This window comes from Homo sapiens, chromosome 14, assembly GCF_000001405.40.
Source record: "Homo sapiens chromosome 14, GRCh38.p14 Primary Assembly".
Classification (NCBI taxonomy): domain Eukaryota; kingdom Metazoa; phylum Chordata; class Mammalia; order Primates; family Hominidae; genus Homo; species Homo sapiens.
Genome location: NC_000014.9, coordinates 22,165,012 through 22,189,013, shown reverse-complemented (window position 1 = coordinate 22,189,013; position 24,002 = coordinate 22,165,012). Strand labels below are relative to the sequence as shown.

The following is a 24,002-nucleotide window of genomic DNA, read 5'->3' as shown; positions in this document are numbered from 1 at the left end:
ATAAAGAATTCTTACAACTCAACAATAAGAAGACAACCCAATTAAAAACAGCCCAAATACTTGAGCAGACATTTTCTAAAGCAGGTACACAAATGGCCATTAAGCACATGAAGATAGGCTTAGCCTTATTAGTCATTAGGGAATTGCAAGTGAAAACCACAGAGGGATACTACTTTATGCCTACTAAGATGGGTCTAATTAAAAAGACGGACAATAACAAATGAGAATGTGGAAAAATTGGAATCCTCCCTTACTGCTGACAGTAATGTAAAGTAGTGAAGCCACATTGAAAAATAGTTTGGCAGTTCCTCAGAAAGTTAAACATAAAATTACCATATGACCCACAATTCCATTTTTATGCATAATACCCCAAATACTAAAAACGTATGTCCACACAAAAACTTGGTCACAAATGTTCAGCCTTGAAATTATTATGGTAAGTGAAAAAGCCAGTAAAATATGTGAATATGTGAATCATACAATACGTGACATGATAGGTCACATATTGTACAATTCCATATGTATGAAATATCTAGGATAGGCCATAGAGACAGAAAGCAGATTAAGGCGTTGTTAGGGGCAGATGTGCTGAGGAGGGGATGAGAGTGACTTATAATAGGTATGATTTTTTTTTTTTTTGGCGAGTGATGATAAAGTTTAGGAATTAGTTGTGATGGTTGCACAGATTTGTGATGATATTAAAAATAACTGAATGGTATACTTCAAAAGCATGGATTTTATGCTATGTGAATTATATCTCAATTTATCAAAATAGAATAAACAGAACTATTCTATGGTTTTATGTAAATAAGAACAATTCTTACTTTAGTGGAAGTGTTGTCTGGGGGGGAAACATGAGAGAGTTTTCAGGATTATGGGAAATGTTCTATATTTTAGTTTCAGTGATGGTTGTATGGCATATACATTTGTCAGAACTCATTGAACTGTACTCTTGAGATCTGTGTACCTTACTAAACTATGCTACAATACAAACAAAACTAATAATTTGAACACAATCTGTGTCCATCAACAAGAGATTGACTAAATAAAATGTGGTATAGTCACACAATGGCAAAATTTGAAACTTTAAAGAGAAGGAGATAGCCAGTTGATGGTTGTTAAAGCTGAATGAAAGATACAAAGGAGTTCATTATACAATTCTTCCTAGTTTGTGTGTGTTTGAAAATTTAGATTAAAAATAATAAGGTAGCTGTCTTCATGTACTGACAATGATGGTTTCCCATGATATAGTTTAAGTAAGAAAGCATGGTAACAGAACAGTGTGGATGGTATGCTACATTAATATATATGTTATATATATACCCACAAGCATATATACATACATCATTTTTATATATACATATATATATATACACATCATATATATGTATATATGTATAATGTTCAAAGAAAATTTCAGTGTAACAGTGGTTATACTAGGCTGTTGGGGATAGTGGGGATAGAGGTAAAGAGAAAAGTTACTTTTCACTATATATCTTTTTGTATAATTTTTATTTTATACCATGTATACTTATTACTTATTCAAAAATCCGAGAATAATTTATATGAAAAATACTTTCTCTTTTTTTTTTTTGAGATGGAATCTTGCACTGTCACCCAGTCTGGAGTGCAGAGGCAGGATCTCGGCTCACTGCAACCTCTGCCTTCCAGAGTCAAGCGATTCTCCTGCCTCAGCCTCCTGAGTAGCTGAGATTACAGGTCCACACCACTACGCCCAGCTAATTTTTATATTTTCAGTAGAGATGGGGTTGCACCATGTTGGGAAGTTTGGTCTCGAACTCCTGACCTCAAGTGATCTACCCGCCTCGGCCTCCCAAAGTGGTAGGATTAAAGGCATGAGCCACAGTGCCCAGCCTCACTACTCTTAACTCTACAGATTTTGTTTATGTTTTTTGCCTCATGAGGGAGTTGGTAGGTTTTTTTCTCTATTTTGAACAGTTTGACTAAAATAACTATTATCTTCCTTTCTTGAAGGAACATTGGAAAAAAGAGAAAGATCACACTGTTGCTACTGTACATACAGACCTATGAGGTATGAAGGAATTGGTGAATTTGGGCAAAATCCTAAAACTCCTAGGTGGTGTCATTGATCCCTGGATATACACTGTCATCAAAATGTTTCCCCAGTTAATTTCTGGTGAGCAGACATCCATTGGAGGAGAGAAGCAGAATACAATTAAATTTTGTCATGTCTTTCTGTTCATCCTGCTCAATCCTCAACACCAAGAACAATGTCTGGCACAGAGTAGGCAGTTGGTAAATATTTTCTGAATGTAGAACAGTTGCAAGACAAAAATCTTTGCAGGAATTCTTCTGGTGGCTATTTGAATTGTAACTTTTATGACTGAATACCCGTACTATGAAGGTGGATGTCCAGAGGAGAATGGACATAAATGTTATATGATAAATATACTTGATATGTTAAGTTGCTATGAATTAGGGCATATGCAGACACACCTGGAATGAAAATACTTATAATAAATAATGAGTGTGTGATGATTTTAAAATATGATGATTTAAAAATTTTAAAATTTTTTCAAAAATGAATCTTCTTTTTTTTTCTGAAGGCCAGCAGATTGCCACCCAGAAGAGTTTTAGGTGTCCTTGTTTTATTATGGAAGTGTAGGATCTCAATGAAACAACCTCAGATATTCCAATGAGGTTATCTTTATTATTTACATATCTATTTAAAACAACACTACTTCTCCTCTCGAATACATTGGAGTTAGTACAAAGTATACCAGCTCATTTTGAGTTACTTTAAACGTAATGATTTTGTAATCACAATTATTAGATTTCTGCATTCATTTCAATTTAGAAACAAGCACATTATGGTAAACCATTCTAACCCAAAACCCGTTCAAAGACAAAGAATGTGACTGGACTCCCAGTTGCAGGTTTGAGTACAGGTTGCAGGTGCCTGAAGAGTTCTGTGTTCTCACTGCACAGAAGTACAGGAATGAGTCTCCTGGTTGGGTGGCTGTAATATGCAGGGAGACATGTTTAGCATTTTTATTCAACAGTACAGTGAGCCTTCTGTCCTGTTTTCTATCCACATTTGAATGAATCTCCATTAAGATATTAGGGCCTTCCCCGTTTTCTTCTTGTACCAACAGAAATAATTCAAAGCTCCATCTGTATAACTGTCATTAATAACGGCCATTTCTCTCTCCTAGACATTTAGATTTGAATAACTCTGTATCACATCCTTTTCTTGGCCAGTCATCACCGTTGAAACAAGGAAAATGGGTTACTGGGTCATTTTCCGAATGTACGTTTTCTTTGCAGAGTATCAGCAGAAAACCAGGGGAGAACTAAAATGAATCCCCCTCCTTCCCCAGACTTGTGATGGACCCCTCCAGAAGCCCTGCACTTACGCTTCAGCTGAATTTGAATAAAGCTCCCAGGGACTTTTCCATTCTTCTTGCCATTAGAATCATCAATGATCTATACTATCTGGGAAGGAGAACATATTCTATTCTCAGTGTATTCTTGCTCTTTCTTAACCTGGCTATAAGCCAATAGGAGACAAGCTATGCTCTGCCCAACAGAGTTGAACATTCCATTTCTCTGCATGTGAAAATGAAGTGCTGCCATCCTGTGTACAGACCTCTAATTGCCAAGGCCACGTGTATAACACACATTCTGTCTTTAGAAGGAGAGCTGGCATGTCTGCCTATCCCTTAGAACATCTTACTTCACAAGTAGGAAATTAGTAGAAAGTCATATTTCTGGTTTATATTTCTGGTGATTAAGTTACAGATCTTGCATTTAAAGTTTCTGATCTGTAGTAGTTCTTTATAGGGTTTAAGGTAGATATAAGGGGAAAAAAAGCCTGACAGTACAAAGTAAGAACAGAAAACTACTAGACTCAAATGAAAACATAGAGAATGTTATCCATTGATGCCTTCTGCACTTTTTTTTTTTAAATAAAGAAGAAGCAGATATTCATGCCATGTAGTAACAGTCTTCTTTGGTGTCCTAGTAAGATAAAGTCTCTATTCTAAGACAAGCAGTGTTGGAGCTAAGCTTCAGACCCACTGAGAAACTTCTTATCATCAATGTGTCCTTCTGAGTCTTAAGTTAAAACATACTGAATGGGAAGCTTTGAGGAAGTGACTGACAGCACAAATATGAGGGAACTGGTGCTTAAATAATAACCCCAAATGATGATCTGTTACCACAAAATGGTCACTCCAGACTCACTCTCAAGAAAGTCTGGGAAAGACAAATATTTTATTAGAGATGCGGGTTTCTATTTTAATGTTTATCTTTAAAGAAGCAACAGTGCAGAGTCTTCAGAGAGACCATTAGAGTTACTCATTTGGATTTTAGAGACTCTTCCTGGTTCGAGTCTAGACTGACTGTATCTCTCATTTTATTAGTCATTTTGGATCTGGCAGGAAAGATAAACTCATAGTCAAAGAAAATAAATAATGTACAGCCTTTGATTTCACTTTTATCACTGAACTCTAGCAGCTAGGCACCAATCAATGAGACAGAGGCAGAGCTCATGGCTTAGAAGAGTTTGGCTATGTTGGCCAACCTTGCATTATTCTGTTTCTGGTCAACCATGTCTTACAGATGGTGGTGTTTTGTTTTGTTTTTTTTTTTAATGGAGTTTTGGTCTGTTGCCCAGGGTGGATGGAGTGAAGTAGCATGATCTTGGCTCACCGCAACCTCCACTTCCCGGGTTCAATCGATTCTCCTGCCTCAGCCTGCCAAGTAGCTGGGATTACAGGCATGCACCACTGCACCTGGCTAATTTTTTTATTTTCTTTTTAGTAGAGATGGGGTTTCGCCATATTGGCCAGGCTGGTTTCGAACTCCTGACCTCAAGTGATCCACCCACCTCAGCCTCCTAAAGGGCTGGGATTACAGGTGAGCCACCATGCCCAGCCCAGATGGTGTTCCTAAGAAACATTATAAAGATTGTTTCTTCCAGCTGCGCGCAGTGGCTCACGCCTGTAATCCCAGCACTTTGGGAGGCCAAGGTGGGCAGATCACAAGGTCAGGAGTTTGAGACCAGCCTGGCCAACATAGTGAAACCCCATCTCTGCTAAAAAATACAAAAAATAAGCCAGGAGTGGTGGCGGGTGCCTGTAATCCCAGCTACTTGGGAGGCTGAGGCAGGAGAATCGCTTGAACCCGGGAGGTGGAGGTTGCAGTGAGCCAAGATTGTGCCATTGCACTCCAGCCCAGGCAATAATGTAAAACTGTCCAAAAAAAAATTTGTTGCTTCTTTGTTCTACCATTAGTTGCAAATCTTCTTTTGGAAATTTAGGACTGCCTGTGTTGAATTTTCTATTTTAGGCTCTCAATAAGTTTAACTGGATGAAAAGGAAATGAGAATGGAATAGAAGGGCTAAAGTAGTCTCATATATTCAAAATGCTTAAATAAAAGAAGCACAAAAGCAGGCACACAATGAAGTTCAATTGGAAGGCTTTCCTCTACTGAGTAATTGGACGAATTGGCATGCAGACTTAATATTAGAATTCCTCATCCAGTTCCATGATATTATCAATAGATTTATTTTAAAAAATTGGGGCATAATTGATGGCTATTGCAAAGAAAAGGTAGAGCATCTTAGGATGTAAATTAGGTAAATTTGTGCAGAACTGACCAACATTCTAGTAACACCAGGAACACCTGGCTCAGAAAGGCGTTGGAAAAATTATTATTTCATGAAGTATTCAGAGCAGTGTGCCTAGTTTTGTCCCAAAGAGATTTTAATAACTACTTTCTGAAGTAGGAGTGCTATATATTTTTTATTTTTTTGAGACTGAGTCTCACTCCGTCACCCAGACTGGAGTGTAGTGGTGTGATCTCAGCTCACTGCAACCTCCGCCTCTCAGGCTCAAGTAGAAGTGCTATTTAAAACAGGTTTCATCCACATTGAGGAATTATCTGCTAACTGGCAGAAAGATCCCACTGATATCTGATATATGTGCAAGACATTTAAAAAGACTTTAATCTGAGCTTTATTATCCTGTAGAGAGGATTGATGTACATGGTCCTGAAGTACCATGGAGCTGGTATACTAAATGTCATCGGTTTAAGAACCAAGGAGAGAAAAAATTGGGAGACAAGGAAATCCATCACACATCACAATTATGTGCCTGACTTTTTCCCAAAGAGATTTTTAGTAACTAGTTTCTGAAGTAGAAGTACTATTTAAAACAGGTTTCATCTGCATTGGGGAATTATCTGCTGGCTGGCAGAAAGATCCCATTGATATCTAATATATGTGCAAGACATTAAAAGGGACTTTAATCTGAGCTTCCATTCAAAAGAATGGAATACAACCTTAGATGTTTTATTTTTGTACCAAATATACAATGGACTCTGTTGGAAGAGTAGAGAGATCTTTTTTACTGACAGTTTCAATATGCGTTCTGAACAGTATAAATTTAAAAGGTATCTTGATATAGCAAGGCTTCAATGGATAGACCAATAGAATCCATCACACATCAAAATTTTTGTTTCCTTGTCTCATTTTTTCCCTCTCTATTGGTTCTTAAGCTCATGATATTTGGTATACTAGCTCCATTGTACTTCAAGACATTAGCACTCCATTCTACAGGATAATAAAGCTCAGATCAAAGTCCCTTTTTAATATATTGGATATCAATGGGATCTTGCACATATATTGGATATCAATGGGGTCTTTGTTTGCTTGAGCTATTAACAACTTTGCAAGACACGGTGAGCTCTGCTGCCATGAAAAAGGTAGAGGGTAGGTGAAAATTGTCAGTGCTTCAATTTCAGTTTGTTTTCTCTGTATCAGTAAAGCTACAGCCAGGACTTGTGTATACGTGTACATGAAAACACACAACTTAGTATTTAAAAAGCTAATTTTCCTTTGATAGTCCAATCATTGTAGTCTATCTGAGGAATGAATGCATTTTTTTCATTAGTAAAACATATTCACACCTACTTCTTGTGAAATCATAACACCAGCATTATTATGGCAAAGATATTTGCACCTTCTTTCTTGGCTTGTGTTTTCCAATATAAAAAGCCCCAGATTAATGTCATTGTCTCTGCCTGAACCATTTACTGACTAGAATCAAGCCCATGCATCTCCCTCTAATTGCCAAGTTTCTCCTTTAATGTCAAAGAATGAGGATGTTCATGCCTTCACAATCAGATGGCTATAAATCATACTTTTGAGGAAATCAGTTCCTGAGATGCCTGAAATTTATTATTGAAATCAACCACTTTTAAGTGTTAACGAGTTTCAGGGATTTTAGCAGCATATTCTTTGTCATATCCTTTCCAATATACTTTCATAGTGTAAGAGCTCACCTATATCAATATGCCAAATACTAAAGCAGATGTCTCATTTAAACTTCTTTTATTCAACATATCAGAAGACAGGGTAAATATAAAGTTGCCCTCCAAAGAGCTATATGCCATTTCCCAAGATGGCCTAATTTAGTTTATTTTCCAAGTTAGGCATCTGGATATTTTTCCTGCCAGAGTGCAGTGGTCTTCCGTGATTGAAAAGCCTAAGCAGATGCAGGAAGTTTGGGGTGTCTAGATTTCAGCAATGTACATTGCAAGTAAAAAATGTTATGCACTCGAGTCCCAGTCCATAGTCTCTTGGAGTCTGTGCAATAATATTTATTTTTTTTCCCTGTTATAAACTCAATGTTGTAAAGGAGCAATGAAAGGATATGACGTATTTCAAGAGCTGTTATTAGTGGCTTATTGGTGCCTACCACATGCCAACCACTGTGCTTTTAATTTGATATCAATTCTTTCATTTAATCCTCAAAGACTCGAAGAAGTTCAAGAACACAAAGAGGTAGCATATGAACCTAGATAGATCTGATAAACAAATCAAAGTATTGATTATATTATTCTGCTAATGTATCAGAACCTACAACAAATCTTAGATAAACAAAAGACTAATGAGAAACATCCCTTTTTATCAGCTTCCTCATAGTTATACCTAGTGAATAAAAGTATATGAATGAACATCTTTTAAGGTAAAACTCCACGGAGATAAAGAATTGAGAGAAGATAATATAATGCAAGTCACAATGGTGGTTCAGTCAGCCTAATATGGCTCTGATAGTGGTATCCAACCATGTTGTCTCCAGGAATAGAAAGTAGGAAGTAGAAGGATCTGAAAATAGAAGGTCTAGAATACTATCCTTAAATACATAAGTTTTCCTAAAACCATCTTACTGCTTTGTGAGCCACTTAAAAGCTGGCTTCTTGAATTACTATTGATTTATGAATCTCTATTTTTTAGAGTACTCTACCTCAGCTTTTAGCTGTCCCTGAATTCCTTCAGCACAAAGAGGATCTCTCTTTCTGTTCCTCACCCCTCACTCCTCTAGCAATAGTTTGCCGTTGCTTGTTATTTAGTGCTTACGAGGCTCGCTGTGTGGGTAGGTGGACTTCTCTGTTGTCTTGGTCCAGCTTCAATCTTAGACTGGCCCCATGTGCTTGGATCTTGGATTTAGGGTTTTCTCAGCATTCATACCTTTCCTCCCTGTGGCAGCCAAACACTGCCGTGTTTCTCTGTGGGTGTGGTGTGAGAGAGTTTTCTGCTTCTTTCTTACAGGTAGCAAAATTAGAATGGTATTGTTACAGGGTCTTCAGCTCAGAATGGTTTCCTGTCTCTACCCAAAGGTAGAGATTTTTTTCCCTTGACTCTTTTCTTTGCTGTTGTGGATCTTAACCTGTGCTCTAGGGGGTGACAGAATGCGCTGTCAGGTCTTTAGCCCCATCCCCAACAGCTTAAAGCTTTTCCTCCTGCAAGAGGCTGATTTAGGCAAGAATGCTGGGATTTGTGCTTTCCTGCAGTGACTGCCAATTATGTCTTGTAAGCCTACACTTTTGCTGGGGCTCTCTCTGTGTCTCACCCTGCCCCTAATTACTTCTTCCAACATCTGTGAAATGGCCCTACCAGTGAATATAAACTCCTTCTATGTCTGCAACTCCCAGCAGTTCTATATTCTGATGATAGCTCTCACTCAATCTTTTACCCAGTTTCTTTTTCTTGCTTGTATGGCAGATAACATTTCTTTTTCTATGCTCTGCTGCAGTTGTGCCAGTCCATAAGCTGCCTGTCTCCCTTGGAGGAGTGTTTTCCTCATTGGAGTCCAGCCTACTTATTTGCCCTGTAATCTCAGGTCTCTGATGGGTTAAAGCAAAGTTACAATTTTTCTATTTATCCAGCTTTACTTATTGAGGCAGAAGCAACACTCTTTTCTAGCAGGAATGGGAACTCTAGCCATCTTCCATTGCATCTAAAATTGAAATATTGGTATCAGAAACGCAAGACCTTTGTCAGTATTCTCTCTGAACCATAAGAAGCATTGCAAATCATATTATCACTGTACATCACAGATCATAATTGAAATACCTCTCTCCTATTCAGTCTGAGAAGGAGGGCATTGTTTTCCCTTCTGCTGCACCATTTTCCCTTCCATTTTCTTTTAAAAGAAGACTAAGGTCTTTTCTCAAAAAATGTTGAGAGAATTTTATATTTAATTGTTAAAAGTCTCACAGAGACTAGAGTCTTTATTGGGCCGCTTGATGGAAGAATTGGCAAGTGTCTGAGTTATTTATTCTGTGGCTTCAGTTAGGTTGTGAGTCATGGTAGTAAATTTGGACTCAATAAGGAGAAATCCCAAGAAACATAGCAAGGCTGAGGAATTAGATAATTACAATTTACTTTGGTTCGGATGGGTTTTCTCTGGGCTCTTCATAGATTTTGAAGATGCGATTATGGATATTATGAATATCTACAGAGCAGTCTCCACATTTTTATCTACCTTGGGCTTAATAAAAAAAATATGGAGAGAAACAATTTTTAATCCATACAAGAGAACTTGGATATTTCTCTTGAAACAATTAGAAGCAACTGAAGAGCTTTGCGTAGGACATATTTTCATTTCCTGAATGAACAAGTGATTGACTGAACCAATGAGAGTAAGAATCCAAGTATGGCAATCTTATTTTGAATTCAGATAGATAAAATTTTAGAGGAGGAATGTCCAGTTTGCTCTGAAATAGGTAACAACCAAGAAAGGGCAGATACTTTGTGTATTCCAGTTTTGGTGTTGGCAAGTTGTCAAAACCTTAGCTGAGAGCACAGAATTAAGAGAAGAGGAAGGTTAAGGCTTAGGCACTGTGTCAGGCCTGCAGCCACATGTGATAGGGTTCACTTAGCATCCTTAGCAGAGGATTCATAGGAGGGATTTTTAGGAGAATCTGTAGGGAAGAAAAATGACTCATCAGAGTCAGAAGACTAGTCTTATGTGCTTGACCGAAACAATTGGGTTTGGGGACTGAATAAAGAAATACGGGATTTAGAAACTGCAGTCTCATTTCTGGAGTTTCCATGAATTAGTTAGGTGGCTACAAGATTAACTACAGATCCTAGCATCTGTAGCAGTGTCTCCCCACATATCTCCTTTCTCTGTTGTGGTTAACCAAATCTTGTGATAGGCATGTGACTGCAGGGAGGACCCAACTAGCAGACCCAGCTGCAAGGAACATGAGAATCAGAAAGCATGGTAAGCCAAGCTGGAGTTGGCAGGATTAGAGTGAAATGTAGCCAAGGAGATAGAAAAATGCATCTGGTCCAGAATAGGCTGCTGTTCTACATGGTCCAAAAGTACTCCAGTCTATAGTCTCACCAAGATTGCATCTCTCTGGCCAGTGTTTAGGGATCCTGCCATAAAAATCTTTATTTTGTATGCGTGTTTTTTTTCCCTAGTGTCTTCCATACTATTTTCCTCAAGAGATTTGGTTGAGCAGATATAAAGTCCTGTACAATCAATTAAGCTTTAAAATTCCATGTTTCACATGTTGCTTTTTTAAACGGCATACTCCATGGGAAGAAATAGAGATGTGATGTCATCCGAGCAGTATGGCTTTTACATGTGGTCCTGTGTGGTTTCTAAGGCAGTTGTGAGGGTGTGCTTCCTGGAATGAACTCAATGACTTCCTTTCTGGGTCTTATCTTATGCACCCTAACCACCAGCTGCTAACAAATGCCTGGGTAAGGTTTGTGAGTTTTTCCTGAGAATGTGGGAATAGGCAATTGCCTCAGGTTGAGTTCCGATCTTTTTGTAAGGCTCTTCTAACATGTTCTTCACAGTGGGCTCTTTGAGACAACAAAAATATGTTGCAGGTCTTCTGGCTGTGATGATGATATGATAAGCTGAATAGTTTTAGTTGCTTTCTGGAAGCTCACAGAATATTGACCCTGTGTCGCATTGGTTTCTGCATCTGTTTGCTGATAAATGAGGAAAATAATCTTCCCATTGGGAGACCTTTTGTACCAATACAATATGTAATATACAATATTAGTTTTGTATGCACAGTCCAGTTTCACGGTCTCACCCTCCTGCGTAGATATTGCTGGTTGGGATTGAATGACCCTCTGTGACATGCTGGATCCCGTAAATGAGAAGAAATAACAAGATTGGTCCCCTGAGCTGACCTGTAAGAGAGCTTCCAAGAACTTTTGGGGCAGGGGTTAAACCTTCAGTAAAGGCAGGAGTCAGAATCTGGTTCCTTTCCTCTTCCTTCTTATTACACCTGAGTGTTTGTCACATATGACCAGTTGTTCATCCCCTCTTCCCTCCCCACTGTCTTCTCCCAGTCCTAGACTGTCCTCAGCCTATCAGCTACTGTCCTTACCAAGGAAGGCAGAGGCCATGAGTGCCCGTAATATGCTGCCAACAGTCATGTTGGCACCTCTATTTCTAGGAAAAAAAACTGCCTGCTCAGAGCCTGAGACCTACTTTATTCAGTTTTGTATAAAGCTCCACCTAGAATTATTGGAGGTGAGCAATGCATCTGTCTCAGAATAGGAAAGAAAGTGGTACAGTGGGGAAGGCAGGGGCAGGGACAAGTTGTTAAATCATATCCTGCTCATACTTGCACAGACTAAATTGAGCCACTAGATGTGTTTAAGACAGCTCTTTCCCTAGCAAAGTTTGCTTAGTTATTCTCCAGACATTTTGGGGCCACAAAATTTTATTCCCAGATTTAGACTGAGATTAAAAAGATACCTATATATTTTTTTGAGTGAAGAAAATATATTTTACTTTAAAATACAGATGTGGTTTTGTATCCTTGGATGTAGATAGACATACATATATTGTTACACACAAAATTTCAGGGTGATACTAGAAACTATGATGTTTTCCCTGCCTCCTTTCCATCTTAATTGATGATTTCAAACAATTCTTTTGCAGTCTACTCTGTTTTCTGATTATCTTAGACTTCTGCTTATCCTCCCAATGTGTGATTTTGGTAACTTTGTTAAGACAAAAGAAAACTTCCATTCTATTCAATTTTATTTCTCTTGGCTCAGTTATAATAGAAGATCACTTCCATTGATAAAATATTATTTCCCATCATCGTAGTCCATTTTATGTTACTATAAAGGAATACTGAGACTGGGTAATTTATAAAGAAAATAAATTTATTTGGCTCATGATTTTGTAGAGTATACAAGAAGAATGGCACCAGCATCTGCTTCTGGTGAGGGCCTCCGGCTCCTTCCACTCATGGTGGAAGGCAAAGGGGAGCTGTTGTTTGCAGAGATCACAAAGTGAGAGAGGAAGCAATAGAGAGGGGGACATACGAGGCTCTTTTCAACAACCAGTTCTCTTGGGAACTAACAGAGTGAGAACTTATTCATTCTCTCCACTCCAGAGCATTAATCTATTCAGAGGGATCTGCCTCCATGACCCAAGCACCTCCCATTCAACCCTAATTCTGACACTGGGGATCACATTTCAACATGAGATTTGAAGGGGACAAACATTCAAACTATAGCACTTGGGATTCCAGGCTACTGGACAGTTTCTGAGATAATAATACAATTATCTTTTTTCTCTACTTTTACCCCTAGCCCCTCAAGTTGCCCAGATTAAAAAAATATTCTGGAGCTGCCATACCATGTTGATTACCACCCATAATTTGATTTAGAGAACCTAGGCTCACTTAAAATGACCACCTTTGGTTAATAATAAAAATACTAGATAAAATTCACTGAACATTTATCATGCTCTAGGAACATTATGTACATATTATTACTTAATCCTCCCCTTGTGAGACAGTTGAATCTTGTGAGAAATTATTACAGAGAGGAGACAGAGGCTCAGACACATGCTCAAGATCACGTATACAGTAAATGAAGAACCTGGGATGTAATCGTCCTCTAATTTAAGAGAATGAATTTTAATTCCTGCATACTACCTCTTGTTACCTTCCTTTTCCTACTTCTTGTTATCTTATCTCTTTCTTTTATTTTTTGCCCAAAATTAAAACAGAGGAATTACTTCTATTGAGTTAAAAGAAGTGTTACAGATTATCATGAGATCTAGAATCTAAATCCTTTTATTAATCTTTTTTAGATTAATTTTATTGAATATAAATTACATGAAATAATATATCACATTTTAAGCATAACAGTCAAGCTGTTTTTGAAAAATGTATATGTAGCAGGATGAGCCACAGACAAAACCTCTCAGACACCAAGTTGTAGAAGGAAGGGCTTTATTCAGCTGGGAGCATCGGCACACTACTGCCTTAAAATCCAAGCTCCCCAAGTGCACAATTTCTGTCCCTTTTAAGGGCTCACAACACTAAAGATTTCACATGAAAGGGTTGTGATTGATTTGAGCAAGCAGGAGGTATGTGACAGGGGCTGCATGCACCAGTGGTCAGAGAGAAACAGAACAGGGCAGGGAGTTTCACAGTGTTCTTCTATACAATGTCTGGAATCTATGAATAACATCAGTTTCTAAGTTATGAGTTGATTTTTAACTACTGGGTTTAGGCCAGGCAGGCCCAGACCTGGTTTCGGGCCTGGCGTCAGGCTGCCTGTCTTTGGTTTTACTTCCTTGTTGTTTTTTCTTAAAACAGGTACTGAGTATAAAACAATATAAAACAGTACGAGAGGGTCTCTCTCTTCCCTCATTTACATCTGTGTAACCACTATCCTAATCAACATATAGAATATTTTATCACCTTTTAAGTTCCTATGTGACTTACTGTTGTCAATGTCCTTCTTCCATTCCCAATACCTGGAAACTACTGATCTGATTTTTGTCACCATCGATCAGATTTGCTTTTTTCTAAAATTTCGTATGTATACAATTATATGGTAGGTATTCTTTTGTGTCTAGCTTATTTCTTTCAGAATAATGCTTTAAAATTTATCCATATTGGTGAAAGAATCAGTACTTTATTTCTTTTGGTTGCTAAGTACTATTCAGTTTTATGACTTGTGATATTATGAAGTATATATTCAATCTTTGACCCCTTTTCCTGACATACGACTCCTAAAATACTTAGAAACTCTGAAGCGATGTCTTATCTTTGTTAATGATTGACTGAACGGATGGCTGGCAGCCCCTGGGTAACTTCAGGATGGGGGATGGGAGAGACAAAGGCATGATTAGAGAGTTGGGACTTTCAGCTCCATCCCCAATATCTGGGAAGGGGAGAGAGTCTGAAGGTTGACTACCAATGGCCAATGATTTAATCAATTATGCCTGTTTAATGAATCTTCCATAAAAACCTAAAAGGACTAGGTTCAGAGAGCTTCCAGATAGCTGAACACATGGAGGTTCCTTGAGAGCGGTGTGCCCCAAGACAGTGAGGACGCTCTGCACCCCTTTCCCCCATACCTTGCCCTTTGCATCTCTTCATCCTTATGCTTTGTAATATATGTATGCCTTTATAATAAACTAGTAAATGTAAGTAAGTGTTTCTCTGAGTTCTATGAGATGTTCTAGCAAATTAATTATTAATTGAACTCAAATGGGGGGTCATGGGAATCTCAATCTGGAAAGAAAAATAAAATCTGAAAACCACAAAGTTATTATGCCAAGGGGAAAATTAAGGTTGGAAACGGAGTCACACAAAACACTGCCTTCCTTCTGTTCCCAAACAGGTAACTCTAATTTCACATGCTTACTCTATCGTATGTAAAATGTAGATTTACTGAGGATGAGATGAATGCTTAATTGATTTTTTCCTCTACTCTCTTTTTTTCACACACAAAATGTGGATTCATTGAGTGTTAATCAAAGCCTTATAAGAATGTAACCACTTGTCTCATTGCCTACTGTCCCTCCTTTTTTCCCCTTTCCCTCCTGCTTGCTCTTACACCTTAAATAGTTAAGTTTCCAAAACCCTCTTTGGAAAAACACAGGTCAAGGATCCTACTGTGACTTATGTTTCTATTTCCCAGGCATATCCTCGACTGGCAAAATAAACCTCTAATCAATAGAGATCTGCCTCAGTCACTTTTTGGCTTACATGTTGGTGACCACGAAGGGACTCTGAGTGGAGTCTGGCTCTTGGCCTCCAGCAGGTCTCCTATTGGGGCCCTGGTACCGGCTGGAGCTCTTTATTACTCTTACAGATTGGATGATTTGCTATGTAAGTTCTGGGAACTTCTCCCTCCAGAGATCCCTGATCTCCCCCAAATTTTCAATTGGGATCTGAGGTTTATTCTGCTGTAAAACTCCTTTTCTGGTAGTTTCTGCTTCCATGATGGCAGACAGCAGTCTTCAGCTTGGGTCCATCTCCAGGTAAGGAGCTGGTTTCATATTGGGATTTGGTAGCTGAAGGGCAAGGTTTATTGTCAGTTGGCTATAACTTACCCTTATGCTGAGAGATCGCAATTATATGTGAATTCTGTGATCACTTTTTCTGGTTTTTCTTTTCAGTTTTGGTCCACCTTCTGTTAGACTTTACCAACTCCTGGCCCCCTCTAATGTTGAATGAAACTCTGCAGCTGGAGAAAGTCAATTTTCACTTCTAAAAACCCTGGCTGGGTAAGAAAGGTCAACAATTTGACTACCTGAGAAGTTTCATTTACACAACAAGACCCTTTTCCCATCCTTTCTTTCGGTGCAATTAATTTAAAGATTTTAGGGATCTCTTATTCTAAACAATTAACAAAGAGATCACATTTAAAAAGGACATATAATAGTGTCATGGCCAGCCTTAAAAATTCTCTTGACTAAATTAAGAGTGAAAAATCTGACCTAAACCAGTTCTGGTAGGTAAAATTCCTGCAGAGGCTTGGGTTTGCTTTCTGGTCAAGGAAAAACAAAGGCCACTCCACCTGTGGCCCAATAGTTAAAATTCTGCACTTTCACATCCACAGGGTGAGTCTGATTACTGGTCAGGGATCCAGCCCCTCTCGGTTTAATATTTGTGTGACTTTTTTGTTGGGTATCAATTTATTATTGATCTTTATGATTGATCTTTCCCACTTCCATAGCTTTTTGTTTCCTGTCTTTTTTCATCTGTTGGGGGCACATGAGGCTTTGGGGCCTTTGTGTGCATATGGTCAGCTGAGAAGGTAAGACTCTAAACACATGGCCTGACAGAAATATGGGTTATACCCCATTTATTGGTAATGAAACTTTCCTTCGCTGAGCGATCTTTGGGGTGATTCTGGATCTTGTTAAAAAATGCTTGCCAACTCTTTGGAGACAGCTTGTGTACCCACGGTTATATAATAACCTTGATTAAGGCACCTGGGGGTATATCTTTTGGTAAAGAAGTTCAAAAGTCAGAAATATCAACTGTTTGTCTCAGCTAAAATCTGATAATAAGAGATTTGACAGGATTTATTTAAAGGGCTCCATAGTCAAAAGTTGACTTAATTAAAACTGATATTTAGGCTATGTATGTATTTACTTACTGCTTTAAGGCCTCTGTTCTCTCTCTCTCTGTAAACATTTCTCAGGCAACTGAATTTCTTCTTAAACCGCTGCTAGGAATGTGCACTCCCTCTGTCTCTCTCTTTCTATCGCCCTTTCCTTCCTCTTGCCACCCTCAGTGCCACATAAGAAGACAAAAACAAACAAACAAACAACAACAACAACAAATTCTAACAGCCTGGGATTCCTTAAGAAAAAACAGAAAATGTGCCACAGACCCATTTATGGGAGAAACTGCTATTTTTTTCCTCAGGGAATCCCAAGAGTTGAAAATGGACAGTGTCTTCTCAGATCTAAAACTCTTCTCTCCTTTGCATTGCACTACCAGAAATTTTTGCTTCTGGAGTTACTAGAAATTTCTTTTTATTGTGAAAAGCTTGCCTTTGGTGTGTACAATGGCTAAGGAATGGGCTGATCGCAGAGTGGGCTGATTGGCAATGGGTTGCCCACCAGCCTCAGGGGAAATGTATTTGCAGTGAAATGTACAGTGAAAACATGGCGTGTCCTAATCCCCATGGTGTTTACCTCTTTTGGGGGACCCAAGATTTAGTGTGAGTTATGCTTTGAATTCAATGGTCCAGATAAAAAAGAGACTAAATTAAAAGCACCTATCTAAATGAAATTGGTCACCTTATAAAAGCCCGTGATAAATTTATATAATTTTGTGTTACTTGGCATCCATGTTTTCAATCTTCCTCTAACACAACCAAATTTAAAGAGCTTAAATTCCCTGTCTCTGTCTGTATTTTGAGATGCAAATCCTTTATCTTGTTTCACCTGAGAGTTATCACTTCAGAAATGCAAATTTAGGGTCGCCTAACAGTTGCCTAGAGCAATAAAATAGGTAATTGAAACTGTGAATAAAAACAACTACTTAAATTTGGTAAATAAAAAATCATATAGTTCTACAAGATCTGCTTCTGTCTGTGTGTCTGTGTGTCTAGTGTCTATATATTTATATGTGTTATGTGTATGTGATGTTTCACAACCAAAATATGTGAAAGAGTTCTAATTAATTGACTTAAAAAGTAAACACTTAAATATTTTATGAGAAAAATAGAAACCTTAACTCAAACACCTTTAAGTTCATGTGACTTTAGTAATCTTTAACAAATAAAGACAATTTAAAAATTATTGGTGAAATAAAATAAAATAGAAACCTCTTCCAAATTTAATTTAGACATTTTGTCTGTCTATTGGCCTGTTGTTCAGATATTATCTCTGCTAGATGTTTTAAGATCATAAAATGTGTTTTTATGACAATTTTTGACACTTAACTTGTCTATAAACTATGTTTTTGGATTTGGGCCTTTAGGAGATTGTGAAGCCTAGCTCCAGGGATTGTCCTTTGTCTTGGACTCTGTATCTGGTGCTTAATTAGAATTACTTACTTCCTCAGTTTTTCACTAAGAATAAGAGTTACTAAGAAGTAACATTACAGTTTATGTATATAATTATACTAGCTATGGCCGGGCGCAGTGGCTCACACCTGTAATCCCATTACTTTGGGAGGCTGAGGCGGCCCGATCACCTTAGGTCAGGAGTTCAAGACCAGCCTGGCCAACATGGTGAAACCCCATCTCTACTAAAAATACAAAAAATTAGCCAAGTTTGGTAGTGTGTGCCTGTAATCCCAGCTGCTTGGGAGGCTGAGGCACGAGAATTGCTTGAACCCAGGAGGCGGGGGTTGCAGTGAGCTGAGATTGCATCACTGCATTCCAGCCTGGGCGACAAGAACGAAACTCCATCTCAAAAACAAAACAAGACAAAACAAAACAACAAACTACTAGCTATAAGAGAAACAGTTATATATGCAAAGTGTATAAAGTTGTTTTGTGTTTTTGATAAAAAGCTTCTAAGAAGGCATGGGAATCTGGTTTCTGTTAAAGAGAAAGTAATTTTTCCCAGCATGGAGATCTTTTTAAATTAATTTTTTAAAATTAAGTTTTTAAAAAGTTAATTTTAAAGTTTTCTGAGTAAAAAAAATGATGGATAAAACTCAATGAATATAGAAAGTTGAAAAATTAAATTTTTGTTCTAGGGTAGACTGATAGGACAAGACTAAAGATTTAAGCAAGTTGTAGAATGTTTGTGGAAGACTGATCTTGTGGAAGGAATTCTGTGTGTGATTATTTTGTTTGTTTTTTCTTTCTTTTTCTTTTTCTTTTTTTCTTTTTTTTTTTTTTTTGAGACAGGGTCTCACTCTGTCACCCAGGCTGGAGTGCAGTGGCGTGATCTCGGCTCACTGCAAACTCCACCACCCAGGTTCAAGTGAGTCTCATGCCTCAATCTCTCAAGTAGCTGGGATTACAGGTGTGTGTCACCACACCTGGCTAATTTTTATATTTTTAGTAGAGTTAGGCTTTCGCCATGTTGGCCAAGCTGGTCTTGAACTCCTGGCCTCAAGTGATCCACCCGCCTCAGCCTTCCAAAGTGCTGGGATTATAGACGTGAGCCACCACACCTGGCCATTCTCAATTCTTATCAACATATGACTCAATTAAAACTTGTTGAGTGTTTCCTACATGCAGTGTTGTGCTGGGTTGATGTGAAAGGAACAATTGAGGAAGGATCTTGACCATTGGGCAAACTGGTAAGATAACTCAGGGTCCCTTGGGCAAAGCTGGAAATCAATCAGAATAAACCTCAATGAGAAGAGAAGGCAAGGCAAATATAAAATTGAAGTACTTCTAAATGCCATTTCCCCAAAACAGATATTTAAAACCTTGGAAAAAATAATGCTAGTGACCTTTCCAGATAGGTAACAAGATTAACAATCTAAATACCTACCGTGTACAATCCTCACGTCCAAGAAAGAACCAGACAATTTTTTTTTTTTTTTTTTTTGCTGTCCTATTGTCAAGCTGTGGGTACCTAGGAGAAGAAAGAGAGGTTACTTTTCACTTTCAGATAGGAATGCAGAGATCCAAAAGGAGTTTATATGTATAGCTTCAGTCAAATAGGAATTCACTCCAGTTTTTGAAACTGAAATCTATGTAATTTTCTCTGAATCTAAGTTATCTATCATATAATACCAACAAAGCAATTAAATAATTATCAAGAAAACAATGCCAAATTAGATATGGTCTTAAGGCCATGGCTTGCTTTTTGTGTTATATGTTGAAGCAAATGAATTTCCTTCAGGTTTCTCTTTTATCATGGATGAACCTTCTGGTAAGTTCCCCATACTCCTGTGGTGGGCATCTATGCTAGGGGAGCATCTGCGGCTCAGCTTTAGGTTTGAGTACAGGTCTTGGAGGCCTGGGTATCACTGTGTCTCTGTGCCGCAGAAGTAGGTTCCTGAGTAACTGAGCTGGGAGGCCGTAAGGTACAGGGAGCTTTGCTGCTTTTTTTCATTAAATGAAGCAGATATTTTGTCATGACCCTTCTGTTCTCCACCCTTCAGTAATATCATCAGGAAGACGGGTGCTTCACCATGCTTCTGCCTGTACCAGTGTACAGAATATAAAGCCTTGGAGGAACTGCAGTTGATGACAGCATCTTCCCCTTCTCGGAGGATCACGGCTTGAGGACTCTGCACTGGTTGTTGGCTTCTCACCCCTGATCAGAAAGACAATCGAATGAGATGCTCAATCTCGTGAAGGGAAGGGTGATTTTCTCTCTTCCTTCCTTATTTAAAACATTAAGCATCACCACATAATTACGGTACATTTTCCTCACTTCTTAGGTCTGGTTCTTAAAAGGGCCCTTCCCAAGACAGAAAGCTATTGTCATTAAGATGCTGTCATATCACAACCTCTCCCAGACTGAATCGTGTACTCACAGGTCAACTGCCACAACAAGGTGCCTGAAAGCACTTTCAGGAGAGTCTCCATCCTTGGCCTGCCAGAATATCCAGTCAGCTTCTGAATGGGCTTCCTTAACAGGAGTTGCTTTGAACTCAGAATGAGGCCTGTTGCAATTGCTTCCAGGATATTGCAACTTTGGGGGCAACCAATCAGAGACACATCACAACAGTTTAACTGCAGAGAACTAAATGCATCTACCTAGAATACTTTTTAAACAGCTCTCCCCTGTGGCCAGACTGAGGAATGTTGATTAAACTGTGGATTTTGGCTTTTCTTGAGTAAGTTTTCATACAGGATAGGTTTTTTTCTTGCTATAAGAAGGGCCTATCAATATACTGTGTTACAGAAAGAATTACTCCAGAATTAAGAGAAAAAAGAAGTATCAAGGGAAAATGTATTATATGTATTTTACTACATATATATATTTTATATACATGCCCACACATGGATATAATATATAAGTATGTGAACTCATAGTAATCTTTCAAACAGTGACATTTCATTATATTATTTACTTGTGCAGATTTCTTTCACTGCTCATCATTGTCTTCAAGATAATGTAATGTACAAACATCTTATAATGGCTTTTAATTATTTTCACAAAGTGGTTTCTGCTTATTGCTTTAGTTTTATATTTACTGACATACATTTTGAGTTGTATGCTCTGGCCATCCTGAATTAGTTTAATGTCATTCTCTTAACCTAAATATTGACTTCATGTCTTTGTACATTCTATTTATCTTTTTCTGTAATACCCTGTCTCTGACTCCATTTTTGGCTAACTGTTTTACAGATCTTAACCTAGATACTACTTCCCGTAGGCAGCTTTCCCTTACATTTAAGTTTCCAAATTAAATGCCACTGTTAGGTGGTTATATTCTACGCTTCTCCTATGATAGCTTTTATTATACTATATTGTAATACACTCTGCAATATTACATGCTCCCTGAAGGCAGAAACAATGCCTTATTCTTCTCATTTGCATCTATTGTTTTCAAGTCTAAGACACATATTAGGTATCAAATGAATAACCTTATTAAGTGAAATCTCAAGTAAATAGAAAACATATTTGGTAACCTCACAAATATTATGGTTACTCATTTATAAAACTGAGAATTAAGGTACAACTGCTTTGCAGTGGTGGTTTGAACATTTTATGACATACATAATTTTAATTATAGCATAATTCTGGCTTTTAGTCCTCAGGTTCATTGTGTTCTGTGTCACCTTGTACATGCTGTTTCTATCTTTAAGATCACTTTTACTACCTTCTCTGTCTTTCAACTTGATTGACTCCTACTAAATCTTTAGGTCTCAGCATAGGCAAGACATACTACAGGCTGCCCCTGACTCACCTCTAAGGCTAAGATGGGGGTGGGACTTTCCATATGCCTTCATACCTCCCTTTGCTTTCCCAAGGTTGGCCTCATTTCACTTTACTCTGTCTGATTAGCTGCCTACATAACTAACTAGACTACAATTTAGTCAAAGAAGATATGTATTTTTCCATAGCTCTTTTTTTCCCAGCATGTAACATTTATGCAGAACTCAGCAGGCAACCAGTTAACAATTGCTAATTGATAAAATGAATAAAACTTGAGACCGATGTTAGCTGGAAATCATTGCCCTTGCATTACAGATGAAGGTCCTGATATAAAATGTTAAGAAGTTGATTCACTTGCTCAAGAAGACACAACACACTTATGGCTAGAACAATGCTAGAAAGTATGTTTTCCCAATGCTGTTTCCCAAATATATTAGATAAGAAAAGAACGTAAATAGATAACTGTGGGAATGAATGAAATGTGAAAGTTGAAGCAGTCTGAAGAGCTTGAACAAAAAGACAGGGATGAGATTGAATGTAGTATTCCTTTTTCTGGTATGATTCTACGTTGCTTTAGAAGGATAAAGACAGCATTAATATATTCCCTCCCCATTATGCAAGACATGAAATGGGGTAAATGTAACAGCAGTTAGAGTGAAAAATGTCCATTGTAACAGAACTTTATAATGGGTTTCAGTAATTTATAAATCATGTTAAATATATCTGAAAAGAAGAAAAGCTGATTTATTGTCTTAAGGTATTTGAAATAGTTTTGTTAAGAGCAGGGATATATAGTAACTGGACTGATTATTCAGCTGAATTTCCACATTTTTTGAAACTGAAATGAAATGATTCATCGTAGCTACATTTCTCTACACCCTGCTAGAAGACAGCAACAACTCTCGCGTGTCTGCCCTTTTGCTGGGATCTGTGGCTACAGCTTTGAATTTGGGAACAGGCTCTGGATGCCTGTGAGCAAAGAGTATGCACAGCAGACTCTCTGCTCAGAGTAGCTGAGGCTCTAGAGTAGGAGCCCGAGATGTGCATGGAATACCCTAAGTATGAAGAGTGATGCTTAATATTCCTTCCTGCTTTTCATTCTCATTTACGTGCATTACGAAAAGGATCTTGGAATTTTTCCTGCCTATACCAATGTAAGCCATAAAAAGAACAGAAAAAATACTGCATGTGATATTGGTGCTCCTGGATATGGAGGGATAATAAATCTAATTCACACTGAGTTAGCTTTACATCCATGTTCAGGAATATAGAATTAAATATGAGAGAATTGATCAACCTACAGATTTTACCTTATAGTTAAACCAACCCCACAAGGATCCCTAGATGAACAAAGCTAAGCCAACCTATATATCACCCCTATTCTGATAAAAAATGTCTTCAGCATTCCTGAAATCACTGTTCCTGAAGTCACTGTTCAGATTATGCCATAAGTAATGGGATTTACAGAGGCTTCCGCATGCTTCTTGGGAAGTATCCTGAATTTCTGTATCTTCTCTCTGTAAAGATCTTCAGCTTCAGAAAATCAGCCTGTGAGGAACAAGCTCTAATCATTTATCTACAAATACAATATACATATAAAACCATAATTTCAGCTTTTAATTCTCTATGAGTGATAATCTCACTCTTCTATAGGTCAATGATGAAGACATGTATGATAAGAATTTTAAAGATTGCTAGCTGTTCAAAAGCATGACTTGTTAATAGCTTCTGTAGGAAGGGCCCATACTTGGTGGTTTGGGGCATGAGTGACCATGAACTCTCTTTTCTCACAAAGTTAGTGATACTGAACAAATCCCTGAACTCCCACAGCCTGTTTTCTCTACTAAAATATGGATTATTCTAATAGTTGTCTTAAATAATTATTAGAAGAATTAATGTAATACATGCAAAACAGGTGGAATAATAGAAGTTCAACATAATCTAGACATTATTACCATTACACAACAGTGTGCTCTAAGTGATAAAATTCTTTCTCATGGAGCTACAAGTAACAATTCTGATACCACTATACATGTTTAATGGAATTGGACTATGATGTAAATGAATAGTGGGTGGTAATGACAAAAATTCTTTGCTTGACCAAACTTTAGTCAGGCTTT

The 24,002-nt window shown here is 37.9% G+C and overlaps 1 long non-coding RNA gene, 2 pseudogenes, 1 gene segment (V, D, J or C) and 1 further gene, besides 10 other annotated features; 1 reads left to right on the top strand and 4 right to left on the bottom strand.

Annotated features, from left to right (window-relative positions):
* The window catches only part of TRA (T cell receptor alpha locus), a 930,229-nt gene that overhangs the window by 363,119 nt on the left and 543,108 nt on the right, over nt 1-24,002 (bottom strand).
* Nucleotides 2,918-2,926: a recombination feature (nonamer).
* Nucleotides 2,927-2,949: a recombination feature (spacer).
* Nucleotides 2,953-3,452, bottom strand: TRAV32 (T cell receptor alpha variable 32 (pseudogene); annotated as a pseudogene). Its single transcript is given in 2 exon segments — nt 2,953-3,242; nt 3,399-3,452. Coding segments are annotated over 2 exon segments (344 nt in total).
* Nucleotides 3,233-3,242: a sequence feature (TRAV32 leader sequence).
* Nucleotides 3,399-3,452: a sequence feature (TRAV32 leader sequence).
* Nucleotides 11,112-11,120: a recombination feature (nonamer).
* Nucleotides 11,121-11,142: a recombination feature (spacer).
* TRAV31 (T cell receptor alpha variable 31 (pseudogene)) lies at nt 11,150-11,741 on the bottom strand (annotated as a pseudogene). Its single transcript is given in 2 exon segments — nt 11,150-11,442; nt 11,693-11,741. Coding segments are annotated over 2 exon segments (342 nt in total).
* LOC124903284 (uncharacterized) lies at nt 15,633-22,164 on the top strand. 3 transcript variants are annotated; one of them, XR_007064069.1, is made up of 2 exons: nt 15,633-15,852; nt 20,156-22,164. It is a non-coding gene; the product is annotated as an uncharacterized LOC124903284 (long non-coding RNA). The 3 variants fall into 3 exon arrangements; XR_007064068.1 differs by having other exon boundaries at nt 15,633-16,188; XR_007064067.1 differs by having other exon boundaries at nt 15,633-16,385.
* Nucleotides 19,987-19,995: a recombination feature (nonamer).
* Nucleotides 19,996-20,018: a recombination feature (spacer).
* Nucleotides 20,026-20,585, bottom strand: TRAV30 (T cell receptor alpha variable 30). The segment is given in 2 exon segments: nt 20,026-20,310; nt 20,534-20,585. Coding segments are annotated over 2 exon segments (337 nt in total), but the record flags the coding sequence as incomplete, so codon positions are not given.
* Nucleotides 20,300-20,310: a sequence feature (TRAV30 leader sequence).
* Nucleotides 20,534-20,585: a sequence feature (TRAV30 leader sequence).